We start from the raw sequence: 13,282 nt of genomic DNA on the forward strand, positions 1-13,282 counted from the left end.
AATTATTCTGTTTTTAGAAAGGAAACTAAATAGAAAATATATCAAGATTGCAATCCCTGTCTACAGGCTATGCCTTTCCCTTTCGCTGTACTGCTGCTGACTTCCAATGGCCATCTATGCCCCTCATTGCTCTTTCTGAACCTGGAGAAGGCAGCTCTGCCTGCATGCATAGCAGACCACAGGGGCTCGAATGGCCCTCTCTTTGGGCAGTGTTATGGTTTCACTGTGTCCTTCAAAACCCATCTGTTTTTAAATTTATCTCAAAGCAACAGAATTGGGAGGTGGGGCCTAATGGGAAGTGTTGAAGTCATGAGAGCTCTGCCCTCATGAGTGGATAAATGCCACTATAAAAAGAGCTTGTGCTGTGGAACCGAACTGGAGTCCACTCACTCAGCTCAGTCAGATCAGATATTCACACTGAGTTTGCAGCAGGAGAAAGTAAAGGTTTGTTTGTTTGTTTGTTTGTTTTTTTGTAGGGCATCAGGTAAAGAGAATCAGGCAGCTAAGATTCAAATCCTGGCCTCACTGATGGCTTGCAGGTAAGGGTTTTTTAAGGCAGGAGTAAATTTCAGGAAAGCAGAAGTTACAGGTCAAATTGAAAATTAATACATGGAGGTCACATATTGGTTTTGGCCTAAAAGGGCAGGATATCTTGAAACAGGGGCTTACAGATCAAGGGTGGATTACAAGACTTCTAATTTACAATTGGCTAAGGAAGAAAAGCTTTGTTTAAACATTTGGGTTCAGCAGAAGAGACGAATTAGCTCAGGTTTATGGATATGACTTTTACCAGACCCCTCTGTAAGATATTTAGAACAAAGTACCATGGTCAGAGCTCAGTCCCCAGTTCTCCCTTTTGTGAGATCTGTGTGCTGGCAGATTCATTTGGAGGGGGTCTTGTTTCCTCAAAAACACCTCAGAGACATATACTAAAATGTCACCTTCAGTTTCTATAGGGGAACCCACCATCTTCTGAGTCTAGCTTATTTGGCCATTTTAGGCTGTTTTTACTTCCTTGCTTATCATGTTACTTACTTACGTCTTAAGGCTAGGTAGGTGCTTGGAATTTCCTTTGAAGAGAGTCAAGATTTTCTATTCTTTCCATGCTTGGGGTGTGGGGGTTGCAGGCTCCTGAGAGTGAGTCCTTGCTCTTTCCCATTTGTGGGAGTAGGGTTTCTCTCTCTCTCTTTTCTGCTCTTCAGTCATGCTAGGACATGGACTTCCTTCCTTCTGGAGGACTCGGGAGTCATAGTGTCATCTTGAAAGTAGATAAACTGATTCCTAATCTGACAGTTCCTTGATCTTAGACTTCCCATCCTCCAGAAGTGTGAGAGAATAATTGTCTGCTCTTTATCAATTACAATTTCAGGCATTCTGTTATACCAAGACACAACAGACTAAGAGAGACACTATCAGTAGATGATAACAGGAGTATGATAACATACCCCAGCTCTCTCCCCTCAGATGGAATAGCCCAGAGGCATTGTCCCCATGTTTCCACATGGGATGAAGCTTCAGTCATCCTAAGAGTTAGGTGGCTTTTAGGGGAGACTTTTGCCACCCATCTTCTATTTCCTGCTACACTTTCCTTCTTCCTTCCCAGTGTAAATAGGCTGCATGCACATAGTTCCTTCTTGCTGGTCAGCCCAGTTCAATGTGGAACAAATCCTTCAGGAACCCTTCAGCCAGGGTAAAAGTCTGAGAGACCAAAGCCGTAGCGCAGGGCCTGGGATCCTAGGTCGACTTTCCTCAGTTCTGTCCTCACTGGTCCTGAGTGGCCAGGACCCTACTAGTGCCAAAGAGGGAGGGTCATCAAATGTCTCCAGAGTCTTTACTCAGCCAGACTCTGTTATAGTTAGAAGAAAAAGAAGCACATGCTAAATAAATAAACATAAGTTATTTGTATATGCATATATGTAATTGTAACACACTTTACAAATTAAATATATTTCTATGCTATTTCAGATGTAATTTGTATTAATATATGTGTATATCTTATACATATATAACACATATAATATGCACTTTTCATGTAAATAAATATAATATGAATTGTTGTTATAAGGCATGGTTTTAAACTTTGGTAAATTGAGCATGAACAAGAAAATCCAGCAATAGTGCCCCACCCCATGGCCACTTTCCCACTACAGAGCCCAAGGGTCAGAGGCTCAGGACTCACTTCATTTCCTTTCTGGGTCAAGCCCTGACTCATAGATTGCTAAGGATGCTGAGGATTGCTGAGGATTGCTAAGATTGCTAAGGGTCTGGGGAACACAAAGCAGCAGGTGCCGAGGAGGCAGGGAGTGGGCCTCGGCTCCTGGTAGAAGGATGTTTTGTGCCCAGAGCTCAGCATGGGCATTTTGTCCCCTGGGGGTCCCTGTAGGACAGAGCAGCACATGTGGCTCATAGAATTAGGCTACATGTGGCTTATAAGAAAGGCTTACAGGTGTGGTCACAAGACAAAAGCCCTCCATGGCTCGTTGGCAGCCTCCCCTCTAACTGGAGCCATATGGGATCTCTCTGCCCAGCTTCTATGGCACACACAGCTGCTGGAACTCTGTTCACAATGAAACATTTCTCCCCCTTGCAAAACCTTCTGAATATTTGTTATTTTTATTGTGTGTTATTCAAGGACGACAACTTGTTGACCATAATATTTCCAAAAGGATTCATGGAGTGAAGTCAAAACTAGGTTGTCAACACTGTGACAGGATGTGAGAGAAACAAGGATCACATCCCTGAAGACAAGGGCAGCTCATGTGTGAGGTGAGGATAAATTGGCCTCATAAATTCAGAGCAGGATGTGGGAGAAAACACATTGACATTCTCTACTCTGTGATGCTCATCAGATGCTCAGGAGGTGCCCATACGGAAGGTGGGAAGCTAGTGGGAGGAGAAGGGGGTTTAAGATTTCAGAGCTGCCTCCCATTCTGCTCCACTGAGAAGGCCCCAGATCTTCAGCAGCACTCCAGGCAGAGCAGGAACTGGGGCGAGGTTTGTGCACCAGTAATGACGGGAGGTGGGGGCATGTGCCCCTGAAGGCAGCTTGGATGCTGATAGTCAGAATGACATCTGTCCAAGCCCATGGCCCTTAACCAGGGCAGGCATGGTGTCCAGGGGATAGCAGGAGCTCAGAGCCAGGCCTGGGTTCCGTTGGAACTGAGCTAGGATGCTGTTCATACTCTGGTCAGCCCTGCTGGTGAAAGTGACCCTCTCACTTGGGACGCCGGGATAGGGGCTGGATACAGGGTCCACACGATGTTGCCACTGGCATCTAAGTGGGAAACAAACATGAACATTCCCAAATATTAATACCAAAGAAGTAGTTCATTCAGTTTGATTAAGTTTCAATCAGAAAGCAAAACAGGCTGAAAACAAGTAAATCTTTCTGCTTAATGCAAACGAACTGAGGATGAAGCCGCAGTCCTCCCTCCTCATCAGAGTCAGAACAGCAGCAGGAAGAGGAGCAAAGGCGGGCCCCATGTCCACGAGGGCTTCCTGATACTGATCCTACTCAGAGAGGGTAGGTAGGGTGGAGTGTTTGCAGGGATTGTGACACCAAAATGGATGTGACTGGATGGCTTAAACCACAGAAATGTTATTTCTAACAGTTTAGGAGCCTGGAAAGGCAAAGCTCAAAGTCCAGAAAGGTTTTCTTGCTGGTGAGGACTCTCTTTTTAATTTGCAGATGTTACCTTTTGGCCATGTCCCCACATGACCATCCCTCAGGGCACGCAGGGAGGGTGGGGGAGGGAGAAAGCTCTATAGTGTCTCTCTTTATAAGGACAGTAATCCCGTGGTGTCAGGATCCTGCCCTGATCACCTCTTTAACCCTAGTTACCTCCTAGCAGGCTCTCTCTCCATCTGCAGCCATATTGGAGGTAAGAGATTCCAAATAGGAATTTGTGAAACATAGTTCCTTCCGTAAGAAGAGGGCTTTGGGGACACAGCCAAGGCAGTAGGGAGGGGCAAGATGAGGCTTCCGGTCTCAGAGCACAGGGGATTTTCCCATCACTAAGCACACTGGCAGCTCCTCCCAGGCGAACCATGTCAGACAGGAGACCCCAGTCCCGCCTTAGGGCCTCCCTGTCCATAAGGGGACATGATCACTTTTACTTCCTCATTACTTCTAAGATCAGACGTCTATCTTTTGTTTATTACGGTGTTTGTCTGCCATCTATTGGCCAGTTTCTAACATAGCATCTTACAGGATGTTAGATACTAGGGTCCAGTGAGCGTTGACTATGGATGAAATCTTTTCATGGGTATTCATGGAGTTGATCTTATGACATCCATCACTAGGACAGATTTTGTAGAAAACACGAAATGGCCCCTCCCCTCAATAAACCAGTCATCTAGTTGAGGACAAACGGTATGCAGGAAAAATATTTGTCACAAAACAATTAGGGTGGCTAGATTCTGGGATCCATGTGACATGCCAAAGATGTGGTTTTGGAAAAAAGAGAGGGCTGTAAAGGACCCTGTAGGGCATAATGGCAGGGACTGGGGTGAGAAGCTGACGGCCCCTGGTTTGGATCTGTCAACCCAGCCTCATTCCTCCCATCCCAGAAACACTTCCAGAGCAGCTCTGAGAACCACAGTAGCTTTCCGAGCTGAGGAAGCATCCGGGGACACCTGATCTTCTAAAAGAACAACTGCTGAGGTTTGTGTTCTCAGCTATAGCACTGCGAGTAATCAGATGTTATCATTTACATCTGTGCTAAGCAAAGTCATTTTCTAAGATGATGAAAATGTCTGTATGTATGAAGTGCAATAGGCTAGTCATCAGTCATATGTGGCTGCTGAGTACATGAAATGTACCTGATGTAACTGTGAAGCTACTTTTCTAATTTTAAGTATTTCTAATTGACACATCTGTGGCTATCACTGCTAGTGTTTCCCACGTGGAACAGCACAGTTGTAGACAGTAATAACCAGTAATGTCACTGGGACACCCAAGCTTCTAACTGTTAAGCAAAGGTGTGTCCCAGGACCACTGTACCAAGCTGGGGTGGACCATGGCCAAGGTAGACAGAGCACATGGGTGGATCTCAGGAACCTTCCCTGGATGCTTCCAGGCTGGTGATGGAAACTGTCCCTCTTGGAGACACTGATTGGGAAGCTGGAGACTGGGGCCCACATAGTTGCCTGTAGAATCTGAGGTGGAAACAAAACACAGATCTTCCCCAGTTAATGATGTCCCTCTCCATAGGCTTCCCAGCAGAGTCCTGCTGGCTGATCAAGTGGGAGGTGAATGCTGGGCTCCCTGAACAATGGCCTCAATCTGAGCCATTGTCCTATGGGACATATGAACTCTGTCATGTGGAGCCCCCTTAGCTGAAACCAGGGAACTAGAACCCAGAGGGCCAGAGCCCCATGTCCAGTGTCTAGTGCTGCCCCTGCCTATGGTGATCCCAACTCAAAGACAGAGACTGACCCAGTGATAAGGGCTTGAGTGGCAGGGAAGGGCTCTGGGGAGCCTGCAAACTGTCAACAAAGGAAAGACCTGGGCTTCCAACTTCTGAACCAGGGAACATTCTATGCCATGGGAGTGACCCAGACCAAGGTGTATGATGTAAGATATTACAGTAAGTTTTATCTTTACGGGAATAAAAATCAGAGAAGGCATCTGATTAGTTTAGCACTTGCTGACTTTTTCAGTACACACTGGTCCCTGCCCTTCCCATAATGATCCCGTGGTCTTTGCTGTTTTTGTGGTCACCTGGCTGCCTCCTCACCACTCAGATGAATCTTCAGTATGACCCTGGGGCCTTCCCTGATCAGCACAAATATATGGCCTCAGCCTCCAGATACCACAGACCATTCCTGCTTTTTACACAATTTGTCAACTACAGAAATTATTCTACGCACTTTTATTGTGTGGTTATTCTTCCTTCATGGCTCTTTCCCCTACTGAATTGGGACCCAAAATTGTCTTATTTACTCACGTGCACCTAACCTTCACTCGGTGGCCTTTACTTGTTCGTGAAAATGCTGCCATTAAGTGAAAATTTATTAAATGAAAAGCTATGTTTGTTCTACTCTATTGGAAAAAAAAAGAGTGAGCCACTGTGCCCAGCGGCACCTGTGTCTTTAAAGGCATCCATGCAGGTGAGTCTGTCTGAAGGCCTTGCAGTAAAATTGATTCAAAACCTAACTCTGTAAATAAGTCTGAGAAAAATACAGACATTGGAGTCACCATCTTGACAACGAGTTACTTTTCAGAATTTCAAAATTTCCAAATAGAGGCACAGTTGCTAAAACTGAGCAGCCATCATAGCTGCAGCCCATAAAGCTGCTGGTTTTAGAAAAAAAAAATCAATGGTTTTGTGAAAGTTTTTGTTTCATGTTGAATTACTGTGGGACACCCACTGCTGTACTGATGAGGGTAATAAAATTGTGACATCTTCAGGGTCTAGGCTGTTGATGGTTGGGGTAAAGTCTGCCTCAGGCCCACCACCACTGAACCGGGCTGGGATGCTGGTAGCCTTGGTAGATGCCCTATAAATAAGGAGCCTGGGAACCAGAACAGGTTTCTACTGGTCCCAGGCTGAATAGTTGTCAATGATCTGACTGGCCTTTCAGGTGAGGGTGGCTCCTTCCCCTGGGGACAAACACAGGGTGATTGGGGACCATGTCAGCACAACTTCTCCAGTGGTATCTGAGATTGGAATAAAACAGGAAAGTCAATTGTGCAATCTAGATCAAATCCACTGTCTTCCCAGTACAGCTGGGATCATTGATGTACATTGAATATTAATTATTGTTCTTGCTGAGCAGGTCACAGGACCCAATAACATTGACAGAGTTTCATTGGCATGCAGAATCATCCCGTGTTCCCCTCACCTGGGAGCCAGAGTACCAGAAAGGAGAGGAGCTGAGCTGGAACTTCCATGGTTCCCTCTGGGTCCTAACCGAGCAGCTCTTCCCGAGAGCTCTGACCCAGGCATTGATATGGGCTCTGGACAGCAGAGTGGCTGGAAGGATATGCAAAGTAGTTGGAGTGGGTGCTGGGCTTCCAGCTGCAGAGACCCCCTGCCTCCTCCTCTCTGCACTCAGCAGCCCCTGCCCAGGTGGTCAGGCCAGAAAAGTCCATTGGCTCAGCCTGATGGTAGAACTTCTTCCCTGTGGTCACAGACTATAGCCCCTGTTTCTTCCCGTCTCACTAGTCACCTAGACCCAGCCAGATGGTATTTAGTACAAACCTGTTGGGAATAAAATAGAAGCCTGTGGTTCTTTTCCTCTCCTTATTTCTCCAAAGAACCGAGTCATCTCCATTGGTGCATGAATGTACCTGGCTGAAAACTAGTTCATCAGAAGTTCATCTTCCACACACACTTTTCCTTTGCAGCTTAGCCATCTTTCCTATGAGCCCTGAAGCCTCCTCATTCTTTGTAAAAACTATTAAAGGGCAACACGCAATTAGGCCCAGCACTGTGGGTGTGATGATCATCACGGCTGCACAGATGAGCAGGCCCCGGGCTCAGACCCTTCAGTGTGTGTAATTCCATTCCCTGCAAACAGACGACAATGCTGTCCAGCAGGCCAGGAACAATTCCTTGGGTGATGCCCTACTTTCTATGCCACCCCATCCTGCACAACACATCCATTCAATCAGACTCAGGCCTTTCTCACTTTAATAATTTTGGAAACCTCTGCTCATGTTTCTGATCTAAACAATAATTCAATTTGGGGTTTCCTTGTGTTCCTTAAAATTGTGAGCATTTGGTGGTAAGTGACAGTTCACTGGACAGGCTGAGAAGCTCTTTGGGTTACATTCCATCTGAGTTCATTAATAGACATTGCAGAAATTTGTTTTCTCTCTTCTCTAAGTACTCACATAATATATTCAATTTTGCATCTTGCCTCACCAAACCTAAATATTTATTATCTGACTCCTGAGATAATCTGATAATACTGTCTTTTAACTAAAGAGTCAATAAATTTACTATAGTTGTGATTAATATGTGTTATTATATATCATATTCTATACAAAATTTGATAAATTAGAATACAATAATTATTATATGCTCTTGGGAAATACTACCAAATTATAACTCGAGACAAAGTACAAAAACAAAGCTCTGAGAATTATGATTTTTATTTTATTTTCTGAAGGCTGAGGATGAAACAGGAATAAAAGAAAAGAGAACGTTGTCAATAAAACAAGCTGCTTAATCCACTACTTAGTTCAACCATTGTGGAAGACAGTGTGGCAATTCCTCAAGGATCTAGAACTAGAAATACCATTTGACCCAGCCATCCCATTACTGGGCATATACCCAAAGGATTATAAATCATGCTGCTATAAAGACACATGCACACATATGTTTATTGTGGCACTATTCACAATAGCAAAGACTTGGACCCAACCCAAATGTCCATCAATGATAGACTGGATTAAGAAAATGTGGCACATATACACCATGGAATACTATGCAGTCATAAAAAAGGATGAGTTTATGTCCTTTGTAGCGACATGGATGAAGCTGGAAACCACCATTCTGAGCAAACTATCACAAGGACAGAAAACTAAAGACCACATGTTCTCATTCATAGGTGGGAATAGAACAATGAGAACACTTGGACACAGGGTGGGGAACATCACACACTGGGGTCTGTCGTGGGGGCGGGGGAGGGAGGAGGGATAGCATTAGGAGATATACCTAATGTAAATGACGAGTTAACGGGTGCAGCACACAACATGGCGCATGTATACAAATGTAACAAACCTGCCCGTTGTGCACATGTACCCTAGAACTTAAAGTATAATTAAAAAAAAAAAAAAGACAGATGGAAGAAGTGGGTGGGAGCTGAGGCCAGGGGAGGGGCAGATGAGCCAACACTTGATTTTTTTGTCCCAAATTGTGAAGACAGTTAGAGATTAACCCTGAATTAGGGTTTATCCCACCTACTGAGTCAAGATATGACTAAAAAATGATTTTCATATGACACCTTGCAAAACATTTCAAAATATCCCATAAATTTAATTGAGAAAAATACAAACAAAATTATAAAATACAGCTATTTGTATACTTTGGCCTATTTTGTCACCTCACTCAGCCCACAGCAAATATACTTCCTTGGTGAGTGCAAAGAGTAAAATGAGAGGCCAAGGTGGACCACCGGGGGCCAGACAAACCCTCCATGAGGGCTGAGGACCACAGATCCCCGAGGACAATCAGACATCCAGAGGGAGGGCTGAGGACCACAGGCCCCTGAAGACAATCACAGGTCTGGAGGGTCTTAGCCCATGACTTTCCTCTGTAGAGACAGATTCTCCCAGATGGTTGAGGGCTGTCTGTGGCTGTGTCCTTCCTTCCGCATGATAATGGGGGCAGAGCAGGTCTCTAAGCAAACCCTGAGCAAGGCCTTCCCCTGTGTGCTGCTCTGACCTGGCCATAGGTGGAACTGGATTTACTTAAGGAAGTGATTTTTGATCATGAGGAAAGGAGAGAGAATGGGGAGAAAGAGAGAGATAAATTGTGTATGTATGCACAGAAAGATTGGATACTTTAATAAGTTAGTTCCTTGATACCTGTGAGTGTTACCTAAATTGAGCAAAAAGACTTCACAGATGTCAATTAATAATATTAAGATGGGGAGACTATCTGGATTAACCATAATGGCTCTAAATGCAATCACAAATGTCCTTGTAAGAGAGGATGTGAGAAGTTTAACACAGACAGAAGAGAAGGCAGTGTGACCACAGAGAAAGAGACGGGAGTGATGTGACCGCAGCCAAGGAAAGCTGCAGCCACCAGAAGCTGAAAGAGGCAAGAACAGAGAGGCAAATGCCATTCTCTCCCTGTGTGTGTTTCCTGTAGCTCCTCTATCAAATCTCCACATCCTTGCTGGCTTCAAACAGCATCAGTTTATTCTTTTACAGTTCTGGAAGGGAGAAATCTCACACAGGTCTCACTGGGATAAATGAAGCTCTCACTGGGCTAAAAGTAAGCTTCCCTATGGATGCTGGGGGAAAGAACTTTTTCTCTGGCCTTTTCCAGCTTTTAGAAGCTGCTGTCTTTCCAGGCCCCTGGCCTTTCTCTTACATCACTCAGCGTCTTTCTTCCTTGCCAAATCTCCTCCCCAAATCTGATCCTCCTGCCTCAGTTTTGTAAGGACACTGGTGATTACATGTGACCCATCTAGATAATCTTCTCATCTCAAGATCTTTAGCTTAATCACATCTGCCAAGTTTCTTTTGCCATATAAGGCAACATTCATAGGTTCCACAGATTAGGCACAAACATCTTTTTTTTTTTTTTTTTTTTTTTTTTTTTTTGAGAAGAGATGGGGAGTGCTTTACTCACACTACCAATCATTCTTATTGGCCCCAAACTGTCCTTCTCTAAACAAGAATCCAAAATCACATAGCTGGAAGAAGGATAGAATGTGGGCAACCAACATCTTTATAAAGCAAGAGAGCTGGAGAGATCTGAGTCAGGGTCCTCTGGTCTGGGGTTTCCCTGGGCTGGAGGATTCTGCTGCTGCTGCTGCTGCTGCTCCAATGTGGACCTCACATGTGTAGCTATTTGTTAGAGACTATTCTGATTTTGGGACCCAGAAGAAAAGAATTGCTACTTAATTGCAATCTAAGAGAGATTGGTAAAGGAAAATTAAATGTTTCCCTAACTTTCTGAATTTTTCTACCCATAAAAAAAGAAATCCCTAGAATTTAGATAAAGATACCTCTACACATGAGAATTTGCCTATTGTCTTAAGGTGGGTCTTACAATGACAAGAATTCCCATGCTGACAACATATTTACAAAGCACAGAAAACCCTGGGAGAGAAGGGGGAAAGTGAGGCAGGGAAGACATGGCCAGTGAAAAGCTCATCAATAAGCAGCTGCTCATGAGGACCATGAGGACCACTAAAGCTCATGCCAATGTAAAAACACAAGAACCTCTGGGCTATTCTACCTGAGAGATGAGGGAGCTGTGGTATGTATACACCTCCTTTAGTCACCACAGATTGAGGGCTGTCCTAGGGGATGCTCATTCCAGGCTCTGAGGTCTACCATGCATGAAGTCAGAGGTGCCTTCTGTAGTTTCAGGGAGAGCAGCGAGGGGCAGATATCACCATGAGAAGTCAGCAGAAATGCAGAAAAGAATTAGGACAACTACTGCTACATCCACTCAAAAAAGATGTGTATGTGAAATCTGGAGGGTCCATGTGGGCCACATCTCTCTGGAATGCAAGAATGTGCCCTAGAAATTCAGGCTGCATGACAGGCAGCAGGGATTCTGTGCCCACACTGCACCACCATTGCTTGGCTACCCATAGTCAAGCATGCAGTTATACTCCCCGTAGTCCCCAGGCTCCAGGGCATTGATAGTGAAGGCATAGCTGGTTCCAGTTCTGCTGCCACTATACTGGGCTGGGATGCCTAGGACCAAGGTAGTGACATGAGATGTAAGGGGTTCAAGTCTTTGTCCAAGTTTTTTACTGATTCAAGATATTTCTCCATGTACATTGTTGCTGGCTTAGCAGGAGACAAAAACTCTCTTTCCTGAATGTACTGACAAGCAAGCAGTCTCCTGTGTTGGGATGATTTCCCCACTCACTGCAAAGAGTAAAAGAAGAAAGTGGCATTGATGGTGAACAGCAGGAATATGCACCCAGTTTTAGCTGCCCTCACTGAGGAGAGAGGGTTCACTCACTTAGCCTTTCCCCAGGTACTCCCCCTCAACTGCTCTCCAAAAAGCCAGGCCCCAGGGGAGCTGCTTCTGAGCCACCAGGAACATGCTGGTGAGGAGTGCTCAGAGCCTGGGTAGCGCTTGAGGCATCAGACTTTATAGAGACTTAGGTTCAGGGAAAGGCATAAGGCAGGTGCACACTAAAAAGAGGCACCGAGGGAAGGACTCACTAGACCTATGCAGTTGCTGGGTTTTGACCTAAGACTGGGGCCAGTACGCTTGTATGGAAATGAGCAATATTTAGTGGAAAACTTTCCTCTTTTGACAATGACCAGAAGGAAAATGATGCCTCTACCTGGAGGGAAAGGCAAGAAGAAGCACATCTCTTGTGATACTTAAGTTCATGGTCAGCCTAGAATCAGACAAGGCATTAGTTCAACATGCAGAGGAGACTGACTGTCAGGAAGTTGGGGAATCCTTGACATTAGGAAGGATGTTAGTAAAATTGGTATAAACTTCAGTAATTACTGTTTTTTCCTTCAGGCCATGGACTCTGGTGTCTCACTTTTGAGGCTACCCTCATACTTCTTGTGATGAAGCTTGCTTCATGTAGACTGGTTCAGGGCCTGACAGCCATTGCTTTGAGGGTTATGTGGAGCCATCACTGAAGGTGAATCTCAACTTGAATGACAGATGGTGGTGGCCACTGATGAGATGGGGCTTCCTATCTAAGAATCAACTCAGGTTTCTTGGCTCTTTGATAAATGGTTCCCATGCTTGGATCTTAAGGTGGAGGCCACAGGTCTGAGTTCTAAGTCTTTTCTTTCCACACCAACAGCCTTTCCCAGGAATCACCCTGGCCTCCTCCATGCTGGGAATCTAGACCCAACCCTCCTGCTACCTTCCCCAGCATCCAACAGTAACTGTCTGGAAGCTTTTATTTGTAAACCCTCCAAATGCAACCTCTGCCGGCAACATGGCTGGAGCAGTCAGCATCCTCCCATCAAAAAACACTGAGAAGGAGGGGAAACCTGCAAACACCACGGTGGTGTGGAGGAGATGCATGTAATCCTTAGATTTTATGTGTTTTCAAACTTTTTTGTCTGTTTCTTAACCATGGTTCTATTTTCACAATCTTGCAGAGGGAAGAATTGAAGATAAGAAGGGTTCTTTTATATTTAGAATATGAAAATAGAAATGACGACAGCAGGAGAATGGAATTTATAAACTCTTCGAAGCGGTTTGGGTTTCTCTAGCCAGGGACACAGCAGGACCAAGATGCCAGGAGAGGATATCACTTATTTTGGTTCCTGCCCTTCATGCTTCAGACTCCCACAAATGCACACATATGATAATGCCTGTCTTCTTCTAAAGAGCAGGTCTAAGGCCCAGCCGTGGTCTTTCACTGAGTATCTTTTCTGTCTAAATGAAAATAATTTTGGAAGTAGTGGAAACAAATGATAGCAATGGCTTAAGCAAAGAGGTCCAAAGGTTGGAGCTTTTCGAGTTGGTGAAGCATCTTGGCAACAGCAGAAAGGCCCCAGGTTCTTTCTCTATTTCTACTTTGCACCCCACCACATTGGCTTTGCAGACGTAGGCTCACTGCCTCATGGTCTTAAGATGGCTGCAGCGGCTCTAAG

At 44.9% G+C, this 13,282-nt stretch overlaps 1 pseudogene and 1 further gene, besides 2 other annotated features; one reads left to right on the forward strand and one right to left on the reverse strand.

Annotated features, from left to right (window-relative positions):
- IGK (immunoglobulin kappa locus) overlaps window positions 1-13,282 on the forward strand; it is a 1,378,008-nt gene that overhangs the window by 411,532 nt on the left and 953,194 nt on the right.
- On the reverse strand, window positions 6,363-6,895 carry IGKV3-34 (immunoglobulin kappa variable 3-34 (pseudogene); annotated as a pseudogene). The gene is given in 2 exon segments: window positions 6,363-6,661; window positions 6,847-6,895. Coding segments are annotated over 2 exon segments (348 nt in total).
- Window positions 6,651-6,661: a sequence feature (IGKV3-34 leader sequence).
- Window positions 6,847-6,895: a sequence feature (IGKV3-34 leader sequence).

This window comes from Homo sapiens, chromosome 2 (genome assembly GCF_000001405.40).
Source record: "Homo sapiens chromosome 2, GRCh38.p14 Primary Assembly".
Lineage (NCBI taxonomy): Eukaryota > Metazoa > Chordata > Mammalia > Primates > Hominidae > Homo > Homo sapiens.